General features: G+C 40.5%; 1 protein-coding gene across 6 annotated transcripts in view, besides 5 other annotated features; it reads left to right on the plus strand.

The window, feature by feature from the left end:
- Positions 1 to 1,172: 1,172 nt before the first annotated feature.
- The window catches only part of HIPK3 (homeodomain interacting protein kinase 3), a 100,352-nt gene continuing 80,303 nt past the window's right edge, over positions 1,173 to 21,221 (plus strand). For 2 of the 6 annotated variants that reach the window (NM_005734.5, NM_001048200.3), the window contains exon 1: positions 1,882 to 2,390. Coding sequence is in view for 2 of the 6 variants with exons in the window: in XM_047426223.1 (XP_047282179.1) it covers positions 2,886 to 2,937 (52 nt within the window). In the remaining 4 variants the exon portion in view is untranslated. Of the gene's footprint in view, positions 1,254 to 1,881; positions 2,391 to 2,791; positions 3,192 to 21,221 lie in introns of those variants that run through there. The other 4 variants (XM_047426223.1, XM_047426224.1, NM_001278163.2 and 1 more) reach the window with 3 other exon arrangements.
- Positions 1,637 to 1,966: a silencer, noted in NCBI's record as "silent region_3232". NCBI's record gives its function as "represses an Ori minimal core promoter by ATAC-STARR-seq in GM12878 lymphoblastoid cells {active_cell/tissue: GM12878}" and the evidence as "EXISTENCE:reporter gene assay evidence [ECO:0000049][PMID:35858748]".
- Positions 2,227 to 2,566: a silencer, noted in NCBI's record as "silent region_3233". NCBI's record gives its function as "represses an Ori minimal core promoter by ATAC-STARR-seq in GM12878 lymphoblastoid cells {active_cell/tissue: GM12878}" and the evidence as "EXISTENCE:reporter gene assay evidence [ECO:0000049][PMID:35858748]".
- Positions 2,637 to 2,836: a silencer, noted in NCBI's record as "silent region_3234". NCBI's record gives its function as "represses an Ori minimal core promoter by ATAC-STARR-seq in GM12878 lymphoblastoid cells {active_cell/tissue: GM12878}" and the evidence as "EXISTENCE:reporter gene assay evidence [ECO:0000049][PMID:35858748]".
- Positions 3,177 to 3,226: an enhancer, noted in NCBI's record as "active region_4575". NCBI's record gives its function as "activates an Ori minimal core promoter by ATAC-STARR-seq in GM12878 lymphoblastoid cells {active_cell/tissue: GM12878}" and the evidence as "EXISTENCE:reporter gene assay evidence [ECO:0000049][PMID:35858748]".
- Positions 3,267 to 3,356: an enhancer, noted in NCBI's record as "active region_4576". NCBI's record gives its function as "activates an Ori minimal core promoter by ATAC-STARR-seq in GM12878 lymphoblastoid cells {active_cell/tissue: GM12878}" and the evidence as "EXISTENCE:reporter gene assay evidence [ECO:0000049][PMID:35858748]".

A 21,221-nucleotide genomic window follows, 5' to 3' on the forward strand; every position in this document is an offset into this window, starting at 1 on the left:
CATCTCTTCATGGATGTAGCAAATACAGGGAATGGAAGCCTTCCATTAGAGATGGCCTCCTTAAATGTCTGCAAAAATTCTGAAATTTGAAGTTCTAGTGGAATAGTTTCTCTGTTCCTCCTGACAGATTTTTCTACTATTGTAGCTTTCTCCGTTGAGTAAATGATTTTATCCTCTTTGATTCTTTTGACTATTGTTCTTAAGAAAAATAAAAAGTAACGAAATACTAAGTGAAAAGGAATGGTTCATAGGCTATCTCTCTGAAAGGCAGCCATTGTTTTGTTCTTCTATATTGGAAGCCTTTTCAGCTGGTTATCCTCTCTAACCTGAAAACAACTGTCATTCGAAAGTGTTATTTCCAGTGGCCTCAGGGCATACTATCCTTTCTCTTTTATTTTATTTTTTGAGACAGAGTCTCTCCCTGTCGCCCAGGTTGGAGTGCAGTGGCTCAAGCGATTCAAGCGATTCTCTTACCTCAGCTCTCGAGTAGCTGGGATTACAGGCGCCCGCCACCACGCCCAGCTAATTTTTGCATTTTTAGTAGAGACCAGGTTTCACTATGTTGGCCAGGCTGGTCTTGAACTCCTGACCACAGGTGATCCACCCGCCTCAGCCTCCCAAAGTGCTGGGATTACATGTGCGAGCCACCGCGCCCGGCCTCCTTTGTCTCTTAAAGGCATTATCCAAAATACTCATCTTCCGGTTTGAAGAGCAGCAGGGATTAAATGTGTATTATGTATGCAGCAATTTGCCACTCCCTTTGCCCTGCCCCAGTTACTGCAATAGAAAATTTCTGGGAATAAATACATCTCTGGTAAATTCAATCTTGCTAGTGAAGATTATGAAGGAAACAAAGAAAGGACACTTCCATTCCAGAAAGGTGTTTGTTTCCCAAAAGGTTAGACATTGATTCAGAACAAAGGGAACCTGAGGAAACGGGTATAAAAGAAAATCAACTCTGAATGTGAGGTATTAGAAAGCCATTTGTTTCCTAGGGAAAAGGAGGAAAGATGGGGTGGGAGACATGGGCTTTACTGTATAACCTTGGTCATGTCACCTAAACTTCTTGGAACTCCTGAGTGTAAGAGTTGGGACCAAGGATCGCAAAGCTTCTTTCATTCCTAAAATTCTATGGTTCCACGATTATGTAAGCTGAAACAGGCCATTCTGTTGATTTCCTAATCTCCAGGAGGAAAGAAACTAGTCTTTGGGAGTTAAACCGACTAATTTAACGGAGAATTACCAATGTGGAGGTGGGCGAACTTCACAATTATGGGGTTTTGGACAGTAGAGATGCTCTTAAAATTTCCAAGAGGACCCTTCCCCCGTCCTTGAACCTGGCTTTACAATTCTCTTCACTCTTTGGGATAGGGGAGCGGGTAGAACCTAGTTTAGATTGAGGTCGTTCATTTGAGCATTTCCCCTTTACTTATTTTGGGACCTTTAACGACCAAATGCCGAGAAACAGATCCTTAATTACGGTTCCGGGATCTCGAAAGGCCTGTAAAATCCTGCTTCCGCATCTTCATCCTTTCTTCGGGTATTGGGATCTTTTTTAAAAATGTGTATTTCTGGCGGAGGGGGCATGGAGTGAGGTTCAGAACAGCAGAGCCGGGCTGACGGATGCTTCTTTCGCGGGAGGCTTGGCTTGCGGGACTCCGGGTTGGGGCCGCACGGGCTGGCAGGCGGGCTCCGGGCAACAAGGGCGCGGCTGCGGACTGGCGGGCGGACCCCGGGGAGGGGCTTCACGGAGGCGCCGCGGCCGGAGCGGAGCGGAGCCGCCCGGGCTGGGCGCGCAGCGCTGCCGGGCGGGCGGTGGCGCTGCGGAGGCGGTGGCCGAGGCCGACGAGCGCGGAGGAGGGGCCCGAGGCTGGGGCGGCTGGTGGCAGCTGCCTCAGTGACGACTGCCGGCATCGCGGCGACCTGAGGAGATCAAGCCGCAGGCCCCGCCGTCGCCACCACTCCCGCCAGTCTTCCTTCTCCGCTCCCGGCCGGGGCGTCAGGAATGGGCCCCAATCGCCGTGGGCCCCGCACCCTGCGTCGCCCGTAGGCCCCAGTAGCCGGAGGCCGACCGGCCTCCCACTACCCCTCGCCCTAGCCAAGCCGTCCCCACCCCAAATCCCCGGGAAGGAAGATGAGGGAGACGGGCCCGGCGCTTAGCAGCCAGAGCAGCAGCAGCAGCAGCAGCGGTCGGGGGAGGGTGTTTCGCCGTTTCCTCTCAGCCGCCAGGACAAGATGGCAGCGGCCGCGGAGAGGGGCTGAGCCCGGGCTGGGTGGTGCCGCCTGCTGAAGCGCCTGGCTCCCGGTCCCCGGCACGGCCCTGCGCCCCACCCCGGACATGCTCAGGGCTGCGGCCGCCCGAAGAGGAGAGAGCGCGGGCCTCTAGGAAGGTAAGGGAGTCGAGCGAGGGGCGCCGCCACCCCGGGGTGGGGGGATCGGCTCCGTCTGCGGGCTCCGCGGCCAGCGGACCCCAAGCCTGACCCGGGCCTGGCCCGACACCTCCGGCGCAGCCCGCACTCATTGCGCGTCCCGTGCCCCATCCGCATCCCCAGCGCTCTCGTGCTCCCAGTTTCCGCCCTAGCCCCTGCAGTGTGGCCCGGTATGAGCCGCTCCCTCGAAGCCGGCGCCACGCCAGGCCCTGGGCCGCCGGACGCGGGGGCCGTAGCCTCCGGGAAGCCGCGCCTGGCCGGGGCCCGGGGGCCTCGGCCCCCCCTCCCCCTGCCAAGGTTGCGCAACGGCTCTTCCCAGCAACCGAAGTTTTGTTTAGTCCCACGGGGAGCCTCTCTTCCCCCTCCGCAGTCCTAGGCCGTAACTACGGAGATCCCTTTCCTTTCATTAAGGGGAACAAACAAACGCGCAGGCACGCAGCTTGAGCACCCCAGCCGATGGCCGCGTCCCGGGCTTTGTGGCCCCGTCCCCAGCGTCGCGGAGCAGCGGGTTTGCAGGGTGTCAACTCTGGGGACGTGCGTGCGTGTGTGTGATTGTTGGGGAGGAGAAATGTGATCCGCGGCTCCGCGTCCCCAGCGGCGGCGGGAGGAAGGCGTGGCGGCCGCGCGGCGGGGCTGTTGCCGGCTTCTCTCGTTACGGTGGCTGCCGCCCGCTTCCCTTCGCCGCACTGGGAGAACTGGCGGAAAGACTTTGGATGAAAATGTCTGTTTCTCTGTCGGGAGGGAGACGGCTGTTGTAAAATGGTATGTGGCTCTCGGGGAATCCTGTTGTTCCCGTCTCATCTCTGCTTGAGGAATTGCGCTGAAGAGTGTGTGCGTAAATTACCTTGGACTTGTTACAGAGTAGTCGTAACACGTTCAGGCCTTGAACCGTGTTTTCACAACCTCTTACTGCCCTGTTAGGGAATTTGTTTTTCCACCTGTCAGTTGGCTGCTTCTAATTATAATAAGGGGCTTCTATTAGCAACAGCAAAAAATTTCAGTTTATCGTCCAGTTTAGAGGGAAAGCGCATGGTTGGCTCTATTGTAAACTTTGTTTTGATGTCTGTCTGGTACAGGGCCGGAAAAGTTAGCTGGCAAACCAGTCTGCGTGTGCTTTTGCGTACTTTCTAGTAGTTTGGAGATCTGCTGACACTTTTTCCCTTTTTGCTATTTTAGGTATTTGCTTTTAGCTGTAGCTTCTGAAGTGGGAGTACTTATATTCATTCAAACCATCTCAGTTAATTTCAAAGTTTTAGTTGCTGGGCTCTTTAAAATTTTTAAAGAGGTTTCCTTTCTGATCAAATTTTTGATGAAAAGTCTTGAGCCGTAACGGTGGTTACTGCTTACCCAACTAAGACATTTTAATCCTATATTATTTAATTTTTCAGAAGCTGGTGAAGTCTCACCATATGTTTGATAAGTCTAGATTCTGCTTATGTTTGCAAGTGCAGTGCTAATTTTATACAATGAGCAATGATAAGGTTTAGATAGGTCATGATTAAACTTAGTATTTTAAGTAAACAAAATATGACTGACCTTTTGTAAAAAAAGTTTTCATAGTTTTATTGATTATCTTATGCTTTCGTGCCACTTATCAGTAATTGCAATTTTACCAGCCAGATACAGTTATTTAGTTTTAAGTCAATGAAATATTTCTTGGTGTATTTATGGCTGCATTCATAAAGTGTAGAGGACTTTTATTTCTGAACTATAATGCTTAACCTGTTTGAGATTTTTCTTTTTTGAAATTTACTTATTTAAAATTTATGTTAAGGCAGAGATGTGTTGAAATATTTGTGATGTTTGGGCATGTCTTTTTTTTTTTGTACTTATGGAAAAATTTGTTCCTTAATCCCCCCCTCTGCCTCCCGCCCCCCGCCCCAAGGGGATCTCTTTTCTAAGAAAAAAGTATTTGTGGAGAACCTTAGATTAAAACTGTTGTAAAAAAGTAAGATGAGTTTGAAATCTAGAACAGAACTGGCCATTAAATGTTTCAACTTTATATTTGGGCATTGCTGACTACAGTAGCTAAACATACATATTAGGCAAGCAGATCATAACATGATAAGTCAGCCTTACTTAGTTTATTGTCAAAATATATTTTCCATTGAACTAGTCATTACCTTGCTTATAAACTGGTCATTGGCTTTTGGGCATGGGATTTTAGAGTCACATTAAAATGGATGGTTTATATGAGATACTTCTTCTTGTAAACATGTTTGAAAAGAAGCTGTAGATCATACTCTTAACTTTTTGGATACCATAAAATAGGGTGTAAATTACAGACGTAGGTTGCTGTTGCAAGTATGGCGTGGGCACATAGGTTTTTATGTTTAATGCAAGATATGGAGAGCCTCCCTGCACCCCCTGCAACTTAAAAAAGCAGCAGCTATCAAATTAATTTTTTGATTGAACTTTTGTTTTTAATATTTGATGCATGAACCTGAAAGCATATGGAAAGGAGGAAAGGGAAAATGTAAATTTCAGAATGCCGCAATATTATTTTTCAGACCTGATTCACATCCATTTCATGGAATGCTTGTTTGCATGTTATTTTTTATTTGAATGCTAGTACGACTTATCCTGGTAACTTTTGAAGTTAACTTTATTTTACCAGGTAAGAGAGTTAACTTATTAAATGTTATTTTCATAGCAACAGTTTACCAAGTATGATGATAAGGTAAATTAGAATTGCACTATTGGTGGTTAATTCAAAGGCATAAAAATGTAGTTCCCATTGGAACCTCACATTTAAGTTTGGAGATGAAAAGATGTCATGGTAATATTTAGATTCAAAGATATTCTAAGGAAATTCTCCATATTTAAATATCCTTCCAGAAGTTGTTATTCCTGACTCTTAACTCTTAGAGGACACAGAATAACTTGATTTATTGTTGCCAAAATAAATATTCGTGTTGTAGCTGTCCTGGTTTTCTGATGTCCAAAGTTGAGACTCCCAATGTAGTATGTTTAACTTGGAAGTTACTTCTGAAGACAAACTACTAAAACTTTGTTAAAATGGATGACTCTATCAGTGTGTTTATTTTTTAAAAGGTATTATTCCCCCCCAACACTTTTCACTGGGATGTAGTATTTCTCTTTTTTAACTTGCTGAAAGCTTTGTCATGGAGAATCTTTTGTGATACCGGTGTAAGTCTAAAGGGATTATATGTATATATATATACATAAAATATATATTATATATAAAATATAAAATATATTATATAAATATATATAATACATTATATAAAATATATATTATATATAAATATATATGTATTTTTTTTTCTTTTTAAACTTTTAGGTTCAGGGGAGCATGTGCAGGTTTGTTATATAGGTAAACTTGTGTCATGTGTGTTTGATGTACGGATTATTTTGTCACTCAGGGACTAAGCCTAGTGCCCAATAGTTATTTTTTCTGCTCTTCTCCCTCCTCTCATCCTCCACCATCTGGTAGGTCCCAGTGTCTGTTGTTCCCCTCTTTGTGTCCATGTGTTCTCATCATTTAGCTTCCACTTATAAGTGAGAATGTGTGGTATTTGGTTTTCTGTTCCTGCATTATTTATTAAGGATGATGGCCTCCAGCCCCATCCATGTTCCTGCAAAGGACATGACATCATTCTTTTTTTATGGCTGCATAGTATTCCATGGTACATATGTAGCATATTTTTAAAAAATCGAGTCTTCCCATTGATGAACATTTAGGTTGATTCCATGTCTTTGCCCTTGTGAATAGTGTTACAGTGAACATATACATGCATGTGTCTTTATGATAAAACAATGTATATTTCTTTGGATATATACCCAGTAATGGGATTGCTGGGTCCAATGGTAGTTCTGTTTTTAGCTCTTTGAGGAGTCACCACACTGCTTTCCACAGTGGCTGAACTAATTTACATTCCCACCAACAGTGTATCAGCCTCCCCTTTTCTCTGCAACCTCATCAGCATCTGTTATTTTTTGACTTTTAATAATAGCCACTCTGACTGGTGTGAGATGGTATCTCATGGTTTTGATTTGCATTTCTGTAATGATCAGTGATAACCTTTTTTTCATGTGCTTGTTGGCCACACGTATGTCTTTTGAAGAGTGTCTGTTCATGTGTAAAGGAATTATTTTAAATGTCCTAACTGGTTCTGGATCCAGCTGCTTAAAAATATATATCTTGCCTAATACTTAAGCACCTTATATTAAGAATATATATTTGGAGAAGTACTGAGTCAGTGGAGGCTTTTAGGATAGTCAGTACTTATGTGGCCTACTTAAGGAAGAATGTCACTTCTTTTGGTTGGCTTGGTATGTAGTTAAGAGTGGTTTGGAGGAAGAACAACTTAATATTAGTGTGCTGCTTCTGTAGCTTTGCCATAGATGTTCTTTGGGACCTTGTCTTAGTCACTTGTAGGACAAAGATAGAATAGATATTTGGAGGATGTATGTTACACATTTATAAGTTTGTCAAATGAAACCTTGAGCTTTTTGGCAGACCAGGCTGTTCTCAGTTGATACTTGGAACATATGTTACTAAACAAAGGCAGCATATTGTCTGGATTCTGAGACACCACTGTTATGCCAGGGACCTAGAGCCTCTGTTCTTACTGTGTGGAAATTAAAACAACTGGATGAATATTGTCAATATGTATTGTATTTTTAGGACAGCATTTGTGGTTTGGAGACAGTTAAGTTATTAAGCAGATTTATTTTGTCTTTTATATTTGGCAGTTAATGCCAAGTTAGTACTTGAGAAGGCTCTTTTCAACAGAAAGTCCTTGAAATGGAGCAAACTGAGGACCATATTTTTGACCTTAAATGTATTTTGTTACTTTAAACTAATTTCTCTAATTTTTATATTTGTTCTTTTCTCTTTTTATATTTATTTTTTCTATTTTTGTATTTATTTTTTTCATTTACAGACAGGGTTTTGCTCCATGGCCTGGGCTGGAGTATAGTGGTATGATCATAGCTCACTGCAGCCTCAACCTCCTGAGCTCAGGAGATCCTTCTGCCTCAGTCTCCAAATAGCTGAGACTACAGGAGGTATCGCCACCATGTCTGCTAACTTTTTCATTTCTTTTTCTGTCTTTCTAACATGGTCTTGCTGACACCTTGAATTTTTTCATTTTTTGTAGAGACGGGGTTGTGCTTTGTTGCTCTGGCTGGTCTTGAACTCCTGGGCCCAAGCGATCCTTCTGCCTTGGCCTCCCAAAGTGCTGGGATCACAGGCATGAGCCACTGTGCCCGGCCCAATTTCTCTAATTTTCTAAAATAATGAGACCTTTCCCATTCTGTAGGAGACTGAGTGGGAGAGTGGGTGGTGAGGCAGGGGAGACTGGACAGTAGAAGGGAGAAGAGCTTGGTTTAATTGGATTTGAGAGACTGAAATCTGCTTTAATTAATTAATTAATTTTTGAGACAGGGCCTCGCTCTGTCACCAGGCTGGAGTGCAGTGGTGCGATCTTGGCTCACTACAACCTCCGCCTCCGGGGTTCAAGTGATTCTCATGTCTCAGCCTCCTGAGTAGCTGGGATTGCAGGTGCCTGCCACCACACCTGGCTAATTTTTGTATTTTTAGTAGAGATGGGATGTTGCCATGTTGTCCAGGGTGGTCTCAAACTCCTGGCCTCAAGTGATCTGCCCACCTTGGCCTCCCAAAGTGCTGGGATTACAGTAAGCCACCGCGCCTGGCTGCTATGATTTTAAATGTCCAAGTTGCTGGAGCCCAGAGTTCACTTAGTGAAAAATTGTAATAGCTTGAGGGAAAGATTAAGTCAGTAGCCTGCTAAGTGATCAGTCTTGTGAAATAATAGCATCTCTGTTTATCATCCTTGACCTCAGTTTTTAAAATCCCTCCCCCAACCCCTTCCTCTTTCTGTCTTTTGTTTCTTCAATCTGAGAGACTTTTCCTTAAGGTGGAGTTTGGGGAAGATAAGCTTTTTCTACAATTAAAACAAAAAAAAGTCTTATGTTCCAGGACTAATCTGAAGCTGCAAGTGTGAAGACTATAGAACATAATATTGCTGTTAAAATGAGTTTGAGTTATAGGATATATCCTTTTAGTTTCTGGAGATCTTAAAAAATAAAACTAAGATACATCATGTATGAATTAAAACTCAGACTTCTGATATCTATGTCTGTCACACAGTCCTTTTCACCTTCTTCTGAGATAAATATCTCTTAAAGACTAGATTTCTAGGTACACTTTTACCTTGCATTTTCTTCGCTGCTAACCTTGTCTTTTTTTTTTTTAAACAAAAAGGTCACACTTAAAGTGGATATTTAGAGAAGCATAATAAAGGAAAATGTAGTATTTGCTCATTTGAGCTGTACTTCTAAGTTGTGAAAGACTTATTCTTTCATATAATTCTTGATCATGTTGAACGCAAAGGATTGCCAAGGCTGGTGAGATAGAATTTCTTTTTATTTTGAGTAATTGTTTATGCTGGAACACCTTTTCCCATCCAAGTACTGATGAGGTCTGACCCTGCTTAGCCTCCAAGATCAGGCAAGTTCCAAGATCAGAAACTTTTCCATTTCTAATCTAGTTGGAAAAAAAACAGTTTAGATTTGATAGGCATTGAAATCAATAGAGTATGAGGCGAGCTCCTCACCCTAAACATTTTGTAGCTTTTATAAATTATATTTGATTTAATATGGATTACCAAGAAAATTGTCTTAAGGATGCTAGAAAATAAAAACTTGGCTGTATTTGGCTAGACAGTTATTTTACTGTGGAAATTTTAGAAAGTATTTGATTTGCTAAAAACAAAAAATGTTTATTTCAAATTCTTTAACTTCCCCCTACTTGGTTGTATATTATTTATAAGCATACAAAATATTTTAGAGTTTTTAAAAACAAAATAGTGAACTTGAAAACATTTGCAGGATATAACTTTGCTTATTAAATATTTCCTACCCTATAAATTGGCATATAAAGGCCTAAAAGTGCCAATTTTAAAATCTGTTTCAACTTTTTAAAAGCATATTTCAATTACATGTTATCTCTTTAATAATACAGAGAGTCTGGTAGGTTTGGTAAACTATACAACTTTAGATATATAATGCTACAGTTTTAAATAGTTAATGAGATAGATTAGAGTGATAACATTGAAAACTGAACCTGACTTTCTAGACATTTCTTCCAAAGAATGACTTAAATTAATACTTCTGAAGGCTCTAGGTATGTAATTTATTACACTTTCTATTGAGTTTAAATAGGGTGTAGTGACATAAAATCACAATGAAAATTACAGGTTATGCTGCTATATAACCTATAGCTATGATGCTGTGCTATATTCTCAAAGCCAAATAAGAATGTTTTGGGCCAACTTCTAATAAGACATTTTCAATGGAGACAGTAAGATGTCTCTGCAGTATATTGGTTGTAGTTTTGTATTTTAAAGTTAGGTAAGAATAATATTGGGTTCAAAAATAGTGGATTTGTAATCATTGTTTAATGTGCTTTAAATATTTTTTGTAGCTGATCACAGACTGTGGCCACAAAAAAGATAGAAATTTTATTATGACGGGTAATGATAAAATATTTGTATGAAAACTATTTATCTTATTGGCCAGGCACGGTGGCTCATGCCTGTAATCCCAGCACTTTGGGAGGCTGTGGTGTGTGGATCGCTTGAGCACAGGAGTTCAAGACCAGACGGGGCAACATGGTGAAACCCCATCTCTACAAAAAATACAAAAACTAGCTGGGCATGGTGGTGTGCACCTGTAGCCCCAGCTACTGGGGAGGCTGAGGTGCGAGATTACTTGAGCCCAGGAGGTCGAGGCTGCAGTGAGCTAAGATCGTACCACTGCAATCCAGCTTGAGTGATGGAGTGAGACCTTGTCTCAAAAAAAAAAAAAAAAAAAAAAAGCAAAATGGGCCGGGCACGGTGGCTCACGCCTGTAATCCCAGTACTTGGGGAGGCCGAGGCGGGTGGGTCATGAGGTCAGGAGGTCGAGACCATCCTGGCTAACATGGTGAAACCCAGACTCTACTAAAAACAAAAAAATTAGCTGGGTGTGGTGGTGGGCACCTGTAGTCCCAGCTACTCGGGAGGCTGAGGCAGGAGAATGGCGTGAACCCGGGAGGTGGAGTTTGCAGTGAGCCTGGGCGACAGAGTGAGACTCCATCTCAAAAAAAAAAAAAAAAAAGAAAACAAACCTATTTTATCTAGTATATATTTGAACGTCCACTAAGTGCAAGGTACTGTGCAGTGAACGAAGAGACTAACACGTGGTCCCAGCTTTGAGCAAGTATATGATAAGTGAAATTAGCTGAATACTGTAAATTTTCTTTTATATTTGTATATGTGCACCTAAGTTAGAAAAACACTGCTTAAGAAAAATGATTAACAATAGCACATTCAAACTTCTAGGCTGTTTACTTTATTAAAATGAAATATTTAAATAAATGATATTAAAATAGTAGCATTCATGTTAAAGTTGTGTGTTATTCACTGCTGTTCTTGCAGTGGGTAAAATCAAAATAAGTCATTGAAAAATATGAACACTTCTGTAATCCCAGCACTCTGGGAGGCTGAAGTGGGTGGATCCCTTGAGGCCAGGAGTCTGAGACCAGCTTGTGCAACATGCAGAAACCTTTTCCTACCGAAAAACAAAGAAAATACAAAAGTTATTCAGGCATGGTGGTGCATGCTTGTGGTCCTAGCTATTGGAGAGGCTGAGGTGGGAGGATTGCCTGAGCCCAGGGAGGTCGATGCTGCAGTAAGTAAACCATGATTGCGCCACTGCACTGTAGCCTTGGAGACAGAGTGAGACCTTATCTCAAAAACAAACAAACAAAAAACCAAAAAACCCTAATTTTTAACTTTATTCATTTTTTTTTAAACTTTGCCAAGTCCTGATGGAAAAAAATATTACCAGTTTTATCTTGTGACAAGTGTTTTCATTAAGGCTAATCAGTTTTATAGTTGAAGTATCTTATAGAGATAAACTGTATGTTAATTTAAATAAAAGAAGGTCATATTTCTCAGATGTGGCTAGTAATACAGTTCTCTTGTTTTCTCGTGGTTTTTTCTTCTGGACCTGTACAGTTTTCACATTGCCTGAGGGAATTCTATTAGGCTTGCCCTTTCTAGCCATATTTCCTTTCTCCTAAATTTAGAATGTAGAGCCCTTTAAACCTCATTCCTATGCCAACCTGTGGAAAGTAAACAAAAGGCGAAAACATTTCCAGCTTTTTGTTTTTTTTTTTTGAGACGGGGTCTTGCTCTGTCCCCCAGGCTAGAGTGCAGTGGCGCGATCTGGGCTCACTGCAACCTCTGCCTCCTGGGTTCAAGCGATTCTCCTGCCTCAGCCTTGAGATTACAGGCAACTGCCACCACGCCCGGCTAATTTTTGTATTTTTAGTAGAGACGGGGTTTCACCATGTTGGTCAGGCTGGTTTGGAACTCCTGACCTCAGGTGATCCGCCCACCTTTGCCTCCCAAAGTGTTGGGATTACAGGCGTGAGCCACTGTGCCCGGCGCACATTACAAGGTATTTTTAAGAATGTTGAACCTGCTAGCTGTAACTTACTTGAAACCACTACACAAAAGGAATATTATTATTATTATTATTTTTTTTTTTGAGACGGAGTCTCGCTCTGTCCCCCAGGCTGGAGTGCAGTGGCGTGATCTCGGCTCACTGCAAGCTCTGCCTCCCAGGTTCACGCCCTTCTCCCGCCTTGGCCTCCTGAGTAGCTGGGACTAGGCTCCCGCCACCACGCCCAGCTAAAATCTTTTTGTATTTTTAGTAGAGATGGGGTTTCACTGTGTTAGCCCGGCTGGTCTCCATCTCCTGACCTCGTGATCCGCCCGCCTCGGCCTCCCAAAGTGCTGGGATTACAGGCATGAGCCACCGTACCCGGCCGGAATATTATTTTTGTATTTCATTTATGTAACTTAAAAGTGTTTAACTTGGAGTCCTTAAAAGCAGAGATGTGAAAATGGCAAGTATTTTATTGTTTGGCTCCTAGTATAATTGTATATAATACAGTATTCTTGGCCAAGCTTGGTGGCTCAAACCTTTAATCCCAGTATTTTGAGAGACTGAGGCCGGCAGACCACCTGAGCTCAGGAGTTCAAGACCAGCCGGACCAACATGGTGAAACCCCATCTCTACTAAAAATACAAAAATCAGACGGGTGTGGTGGTGGGCGCCTGTAATCTCAGCTGCTCCGGAGCCTGAGGCAGGAGAATTGCTTGAACCCAGGAGGCGGATGTTACAGTGAGCCAAGATGGTGCCACTGCACTCCAGCTTGGGAGATGAGTGAAACTCCATCTCAAAAACAAATAAGCAAACAAACAAAAAACAGTATTCTTAATTAAATTTGACAATTTGGCAACATTTTGATATTTTATACATGTGTATTTAAAATTGAATTCTGGGCCGGGTGTAGTGGCTCAAGCCTGTAATCCTAGCACTTTAGGAGGCTGAAGTGGGAGGATTGCTTGAAGCCAGGAGTTCAAGACCAGCCTGGGTATATAGTGAGACTCCATCTCTATAAAAAATACAATTACCTGAGTGAGGTGGTGCATACCTGTAGTCCTAGCCACTCGGGAGACTGAGACAGAAAGATCATTTGAACCTAGGAGTTAGAGGCTGCAGTGAGCTAGAATTGCACCACTGCATTGCACCTTGGACAACAGAGTAAGACTCCGTCACCAAAAAAAAAAAAAAAAAAAAAAAAATTAAAAAAAGAATCTTGTATGAAAAGGTGTTTGGTATGATGACATGATTAATTGCCAGTAGCCTTGAACAGAAAATTTTCGGGAGTGTTTGCCTTATGAGTTGCCTTCTCTAAGCCTAGTGTGGCATTTCTGAAACTATTTCTAGTGGCCACTCTATAATTTCTCCTTAAAGTATCTCAAAATCTGAAATCTCCTTAAAGTATCTTACATCTGAAGGTCTATCTAGCTTGAAATGATTTTGCATTAATTCTATTGGAAGAAAATGAAATACCTCAACTTCCTAACCTATTAGAAGTTAATATATAACATTTTTGGGAATGTTATACTTTCATTTAAAAATATGAAATCGTATCTGAACTGTTCCTTAAGTTTAGGGACCATGCTCTTACCTGTTTTTATGTTCCCTAAAGTGTATAATAGATGTTGGAAAACAAATATATTACTATTATAAAAGGAGTCAAATACAGACATATGATACTCAACTTACATACCTTAATCAACGTGTAGCATCTTTATTGCATAGCTTGGCAGGTACCTGACCAAGCAGTTGTGAACATGTCATCGACAAACTTAGCTTCTCAAAACCCTCCTTTATTCCTGCCTCTTTTTTTACTTCTAACAGATGAGTCGCTTTCCTTGATAAAGGTCAGTAGGTATGACCTTCTCCCAGATTTCCAACCCTTTACCTCTGGACTTAATTCCAACAGTACACACTTTGGGATTTCACTCCTCTCTCAAGGAAAGAAACATCTCTTCATTCCCCCAAGATTACTCACTATTTTCCATGTGGGCTTCATCCAGAATTGTGTTTTTCAACATCTGGAGCTTGTCCAAAAACTTAAAGTTCTGTTTTTTTTCCTGCTTTTTTTTTGACAGGTAAAATTATATATATTTATTGTGTACAACATTGACTCTTTTTCCTTCAGCTTTTTAACATGCCCAAGTATCTGAGATCTTAAGCAACCATCTTTTAATTGTGCCTCTTCAAGTCTAGGGTCCTCTGTTTCTTTTTCTGTTTCTTCTAAACTTCTTAAATGTGTTCTCTGGCCTCTACTTGGATTTCTGTTCACTTCATAGCCTTTGGCAGTATAGTTCTGTCTATGCCACTTTAATGAGATTGCTCCTACTAAGCTCCCCTGTATTTTTTTTATTTATAGTTTATGTATTCCTTCAGATAATTGTTTACAGTGTCCCCTACTCAGTTCTTAGCTTTCAACCCATATTTTGAACCTCCTATTCATTTCCATATTTTTCCCTTACAGGTACCTCAGAATTACCTTATTTCTAAATCCTTTGCCTGGATTCCCTATCTAGCATCCTCATTTCTATTGCCCTGTGTGTGTGTGTGTATACCTGTATATGGTTTTTTATTATTTTTTTAAGACAGTTTCGCTTTCGTTGCCCAAGCTGGAGTACAGTGGCGTGACCTTGGCTCACTGCAACCTCTGAATCTCAGGTGAAAGTGATTCCTCTGCCTCAGCTTCCCGAGTAGCTGGGATTACAGGCACATGCCATGACGCCTGGCTAATTTTTTGTATTTGCAGTAGAAATGGGGTTTCACCATGTTAGCCAGGCCGGTCTCAAACTCCTGACCCTCAGGTGATCCACCTGCCTCATCCTCCTGAAGTGCTGGGATTACAGGCGTGAGCCACCATGCCTGGCCTGCCTTTTGTTTATGTTTGAAACCTTATTTATTTATTTATTTATTGTTTTTTTGAGACGGAGTCTGTCACCCAGGCTGTAGTGCAATGGCACGATCTTGGCTCACTGCAACTTCCGCCTCCTGGGTTCAAGCAATTCTCTTGCCTCAGCCTCCCAAGTAGCTGGGATTACAGGCGCCTGCCACCACGCCCGGCTAAGAAAATTGAGAATGTATGAAAACTTACAGTAAAAATAAGATATTAAAAAGAAAGAATGTGTAACAACTGTATGAAACTGCTTATTACAACTTTATATGAACAGTGAAAAAAATTGGAAAAAAAGCAGTCCAGCAAATTATGATATGCACATAGGATAGAACATTACGCTGCTATTTAAAATAATAATAGTTGATTAGAGTCTGGGTGTGGTAGCTCATGCCTATAATCCCAGCACTTTAGGAGGCTGAGGTAGGTGGATCACTTTTGCACAGGAGTGCAAGACCAGCCTGGGCAACATGGTGAAACCCTGTCTCTAATTAAAAAAAGAATAAAAAATGTGATAAGAAAAAGAATAAGAGGAAACATTGTTATATCCAGTTATCATGTATTTTAATTTTAAGCATATGATAAAACATTTAACTGACTTGAAGGAATTAGGTTCTTTTCCCTGAATATTTTGTAATTTTATAGTAATTGAATAACTTCAAAATGATTGCTATACTGAAATTTAACCTCTTGTTAATGTGAATGATATATCTTTTCATGATTTTATGGCAAAATACTTTAAGTTTTATATTAGTCTAGTATACCAATTCCTAGCAGTATGATTCCAGGTAAATGATACTGCCTTAGTGGTAATTTTTATTCACTCAAATTGCAAGGTTCTATGAATAAATAGCATTCTAAGTGTTTGTTAATATGATAAATAATGATATAAATGTTTTGGCGTATTTCATCATGTATAGTGAATATGCAATCATTATTTTCATATCTGAGATTCTATCTAGTTTCTTGTGCAAATGCCTAAAAAATGGTGGCTGGGTGTGGTGACTCACGACTGTAATCTCAGCACTTTGAGAGGCCAAGGTGGGCACATTGCTTGAGCCCAAGAGTTTGAGACCAGCCATGGTGAGACCTCATCCTAACAAAAATACAAAAAATTAACCGGGTGTGGTGGCATGAGCCTGTAATCACAGCTACCAGGGAGGTTGAAGTGAAAGGATCACTTGAGCCCTGGTGGTCTAGGATGCAGTGAGGCATGATTGTGCCACTGCATTCCAGCCTGGGCAACAGAGCAAGACCCTGTCTCAAAATAAATAAATAAATAAAGTCAATTTTAGTTACTATTTGAGAATAGATTTCTAATCAGTAAACTGTAACTACTTTGCAGCCATTTTCAGTCTAATGAGGAAGCACATTTTTATTTATGGGATCAATGGCTACTTAATTTTAAACTTAAAATGTGTTAGCTGTTAGTTACATATGCAACTTAAATTTAAACTTTCTTAATATCTTTCTTTTTTATACATTGATGGTGTATTTAAAAAAATCTCTTCAGCCAGATAATTATGAAGAAAACTATTTTTATCATTATCATTATAGTTCTGATATGTATGGTTTTTAGTGTCATGCATTGATAGTGTGACTTTTTACACTAACATAAAGAAAAAATCTGTTTTTCTATGACACTTTCAGTGGAAGAAAAATAAATATGTAGCCTTGCTAAGTCTATCTAAATTTGTGGTTTTAATGCACAGCTTATAAGCAACTCAAAAAATGTGTCACTTAAAGTTAATGATTAGATGTAGTTAGGGCCAGATAGAAGCAGTTGTAATAGATTTTTAAGAATTCAATGTCGTGGCCGGGTGCAGTGGCTCACGCCTGTAATCCCAGCACTTTGGGAGGCCGAGGCAGGTGGATCACTTGAGATCAGGAGTTAGAGACCAGCCTGGCCAACATGGTGAAACCCCATCTCTACTAAAAATTCGAAAGATTAGCTGGGCGTGGTGGCAGGTGCCTGTAATCCCAGCTACTCAGGAGGCTGAGGCAGGAGAATCGCTTGAACATGGGTGGTGGAGGTTGCAGTGAGCCGAGATCGCGCCACTACACTCTAGCCTGGGCGACAGAGTAAGACTCCGTCTCCAAAAAAAAAAAATAATAATAATTCAATGTCGTTTCTTTGTGGGTACTGTCTTGAGAAGCTGCTTGTTTTCTTAACTCTTTAGATGTTTGTAAATTACATTGCTGTTCTTTAGTTTTTCTGGCTTTCCTAAGGAGACCTGTTGCAAGTTTCTGCTGTATCACCTTCCTCAAAGTTGTCATAAGAATGAGAGAGATCTTTCTCCTTTCCTTTTTCCTTTTTTCTTTCCTTTTTCCTTTTTTCCTTTCCCTTCCCTTCCCTTTTCCTTTTTCCTTTATTCTTTTTTCTTTCTTTTTGATGAAGTCTCATTCTGTTGCCGAGGCTGAAGTGCAGTGGTGCAATCTCGGCCTTTCCTCCTTCTCTCCCTCCCTCCCTCCTCCCTCCCCCTCCCTCCCTCCTTCCTTCCTTCCCTCCCTCCCTCCCTCTTTCTTCCTCCCCTCCCCTCCCGTTCCCTCCTGTCCCCTGTCGAGATGAGGTCTTGCTTTGTCACCCAGGCTAGAGTGCAGTGGTAGGCACTATCACAGCCAAGCAACCTCAAACTCCTGGGCTCAAGGCATCCTCCCAAGTAGCTGGGACTATAGGTGTGTGTCACCGTGCCTGGCTAATTTTTTTTTTTAAATAGAGATGGGGTCTTGCCATCTTGCCCAGGATGATCTTAAACTCTTGGGCTCAAATGATCCTCCTGCCTACGCCTCCCTATTGTTTCCGACTTGATACCAGAGAGTTTCCTGAAGCCATTGTAAAGGGCCATCCTCAGTTGACAAGATATAAGTGACAGTTAAACTTTGAAAATTAAAAAGAGTATTTCCACATTAGAAAGGCTTTGGGCTGGGTGCGGTGGCTTACGCCTGTAATCCCAGCACTTTGGGAGGCCGAGGCGGGCAGATCACGAGGTCAGGAGATCAAGACCATCCTGGCTAACACGGTGAAACCCCGTCTGTACTAACAATACAAAAAGAAATTAGCCAGGCGTGTGGTGGCGGGCACCTGTAGTCCCAGCTACTCGGGAGGCTGAGGCAGGAGAATGGCGTGAACCTGGGAGGCGGAGCTTGCAGTGAGCCGAGATCACGCCACTGCACCTCCAGCCTGGGCGACAGAGTGAGACTCTGTCTCCACAAAAAAAAAAAAAAAAAAAAAAAAAAGAAGATTTTGGACAATACTTTGCAAAATTCCTTAAAAAGGGCATTTATATAAAGTGGAATGTCTGGCAACTACAGCCTGAGTAGAAAGAAAACATAATTGTAGAAATTAAAAAAATACTTTGAATTTAGCAGTATAAGGCATATTAGGACCCTATAGGATCTTAATAGAATTTGGAAAATAGAAACAGTTGACTTTTCTATTCAACTTATTTTTTCCAGGCCCCACAATGTCTTTCATAAAGATTTTTAAAAACTGAAAGTACTATACTCAAGCTTATGCAGCTGTAAATAACTGAAAGTACTATACTCAAGCTTATGCAGTTAAATATTTATCTTTTCAGCTCTTACAACTGAAAAACTGTTATGTGTCTGGCAAAGGAGATGGTAGCCACTGTTCTCATTCTGTTGGTTTTTAGAATTTTCATTCTTGTGTGATTTACATTACTGTAGAGTGATAGTTCTCTTTCAGGTGTGAATATAGTGATGAGAATCTTAAGGTTGTTTAAGGTAAACCATACTTTTGAAAAGTTTTATAGAACCTGACCTTTGGTTCTCTACATGTTCATTTAGAGCTTTGAATCATTATCTCATACAAAAATCTTATTTGTTGGCAGATTTTTTCCTTTTTATTGCTGTCAGCAGTGGGCATTCGGTCAAATTATTAATCTAGGATTCCAGTTTACCTGTTGAGTTGTTTTAAAGGGAGATGATGTCAGGTGATCTTGTAGGAATCATTTGACCTTTGCCTTCTTAATCTTTAATATTTTGTATTTATCTTTGTCTGAAAGTTACATAGATTTTCATAAGAAATAAAAGTTTTGTGGTGGTTCTTTTGAGACAGATTTTCCTATAAAGTAGAAAGCAATACATTTGGCTTTCTATTAAGGGAGTTGTTCATAACCCAAACTTAAAAAACTGTTTACTCTTTCTAATAGCTCATTGGTAGATATTGGGCGTTGTATGAAGAATTTAAGTAAAAATTTTTCTTTAGTACTTAAGTTATATAAGCTGAATTTGAGTTATTAATCTTAAGTTTACATCAAGAAAGAGGGAACTTCAGGTAAACTTTTTGTCTTTAGTCAACCTTTCTGTCAGGGTTTCCATTTCTGATTTTTTATTTTATATAGCTTTTAAAAATCTAGAGAATTATCTGCTTAGTAAGAGTAATCCTTGTGTAATTTTTTTGAATTAATTAGCTCTTTTCTAGCCTTGTTAAAGATTTGTACTGGCAGGGTGATTTCTAGCAGCTTTGAAATGTCCAACAGGTCATTTTCTGTTCCAAATGTTGGAACATTTTGCTAAGTCAGATGAAGCTTGTTATTTAACATGCTGATTTGTGTTATAGTCAACACATTCTCTAGATGCTTTGTTCACAATACTGCTGGAAAATACCCAAGACTTTAGTATTTTCAAAATAAATGTTCTGTAGGCACCTCAGACAGCAGGTTTAGTTTATTAAGTTTTACAATGTATGGTGGTTGTTTCTTATATGAAATGGTAGACACAATTTTTTTTTTTTGAGATGGAGTCTTGCTCTGTCACCCAGGCTGGAATGCAGTGGCGTGATCTTGAGTCACTGCAGCCTCCGCCTCTCGAGCTCAAGTGATTCTCCTGCCTCAGCCTCCTGAGTAGCTGGGATTGCAGTTGCGTGCCACCATGCCTAGCTAATTTTTGTATTTTTAGTAGAGGTGGGGTTTCAACATACTGGTCAGGTGGGTCTTGAACTCCTGACCTCGTGATCCGCCCGCCTCAGCCTCCCAAAGTGCTGGGATTACAGGTGTAAGCCACTGTGCCCAGCCAATGAAATGGTTTAGTATTATTTCCTGGATTGAATGCTGGTAAAAATAATCTTCTAAAATAATAGAGGTATTTAAAATATTGACACCTAGTTAACCAATGAAGAATTAAACTCATTTACTGTTCATACTACCAACTTATTGTCTAGTGTCTCCTGCCTTTTTTTTTTAAATGGCATGTTGTTTTGTCTTTTATAAATATGCACTTTAAACAAGGTAATTGAGAAATGAAATAAACTGACTAGAAACTCCTTTTTACTGGCTACATATTGTTATATAGTTCTATTTTGTAATTTCTATTTATAGAGCCTTGCATAGACTGGCACTATGGTTCTGTCCTTTGAAGAATGAAAAGCCCTTTTAATTGTCAGAATTTATTGGATCATATAGTGAAGTTCTACTTTTAGTCTTTATTGATTGAAGAAGTTATATAATGACCAACAGCTTTAAAAACTGTTATGAATTAAGTAATACTTTTAAATGAAGAAATTTGCCCTCACTGCTTATGATTACTTTTAAAATTAGTGCTGGCAGATGATCCTAGGGACTCTTCATATGCCTGGCAATTCTAGACTTTGGGTGCTCTGGGCTACGCCTACCATATTTGGCTGTTCATCCACAAGTTAGTGACCCTTGAAGAAGAGTCTTGTTCAAGAAAGACATTGTTTTATACCTGTCACTCGTTCTTGTTTTCTGTTTAACTTATCCTTTGACAAATATTCAGACCTACAGAAAAGCTGCAAGAATAATACAAAGAATTCCTGTGTATTTTTCACCTAGATTATTCAAATGTTAACATTTTACTGCATTTGCTTTTACCTTTTTTTCTCTGTATCTATATTATGTTTTTATCTGAATTTTTTGAGAGTAAGTTGCAGGCATGTCCCTTTAACTCTAACTAATTGCATAAAGTAAAGACTGTTCAGTTGTTGTATCTCTTTAGTTTAATCTGTGATCTGAAAACTTCCTCAGTCTTTATGTTGATTTGACATTGACCTTTTGAAGAATACTGCCATTATTTTATAGACTCTTCCTCAATTTGGATTTGTTTTCATATTTTTGAGACAGGGCCTATGAATAAATAATATTTTAAGTGTTAATATGGTAAATAATGTTATGAAATAACTTTTGGATATTCATTATATATAGTTGATATACAATCACGTTCATATCTGAGATAGATTCTAGCTAGTTTCTTGGGGTACGTGGCAAATATTTTAGGCTTGTACGGACTGAACAGGTGACTGCTTCACTTTGGTGTGGTTACCAAATTGGTATGGTTACCAACTGAATGAAATAAGGTATGGCTGATTGGTTATGTTAATAAAATATATCTAAAATGATCGTATTTTTGTAATTTTATTTTATTTTATTATTCTTATTTTT

This window comes from Homo sapiens, chromosome 11, assembly GCF_000001405.40.
Source record: "Homo sapiens chromosome 11, GRCh38.p14 Primary Assembly".
NCBI classification, from domain to species: Eukaryota; Metazoa; Chordata; class Mammalia; order Primates; family Hominidae; genus Homo; species Homo sapiens.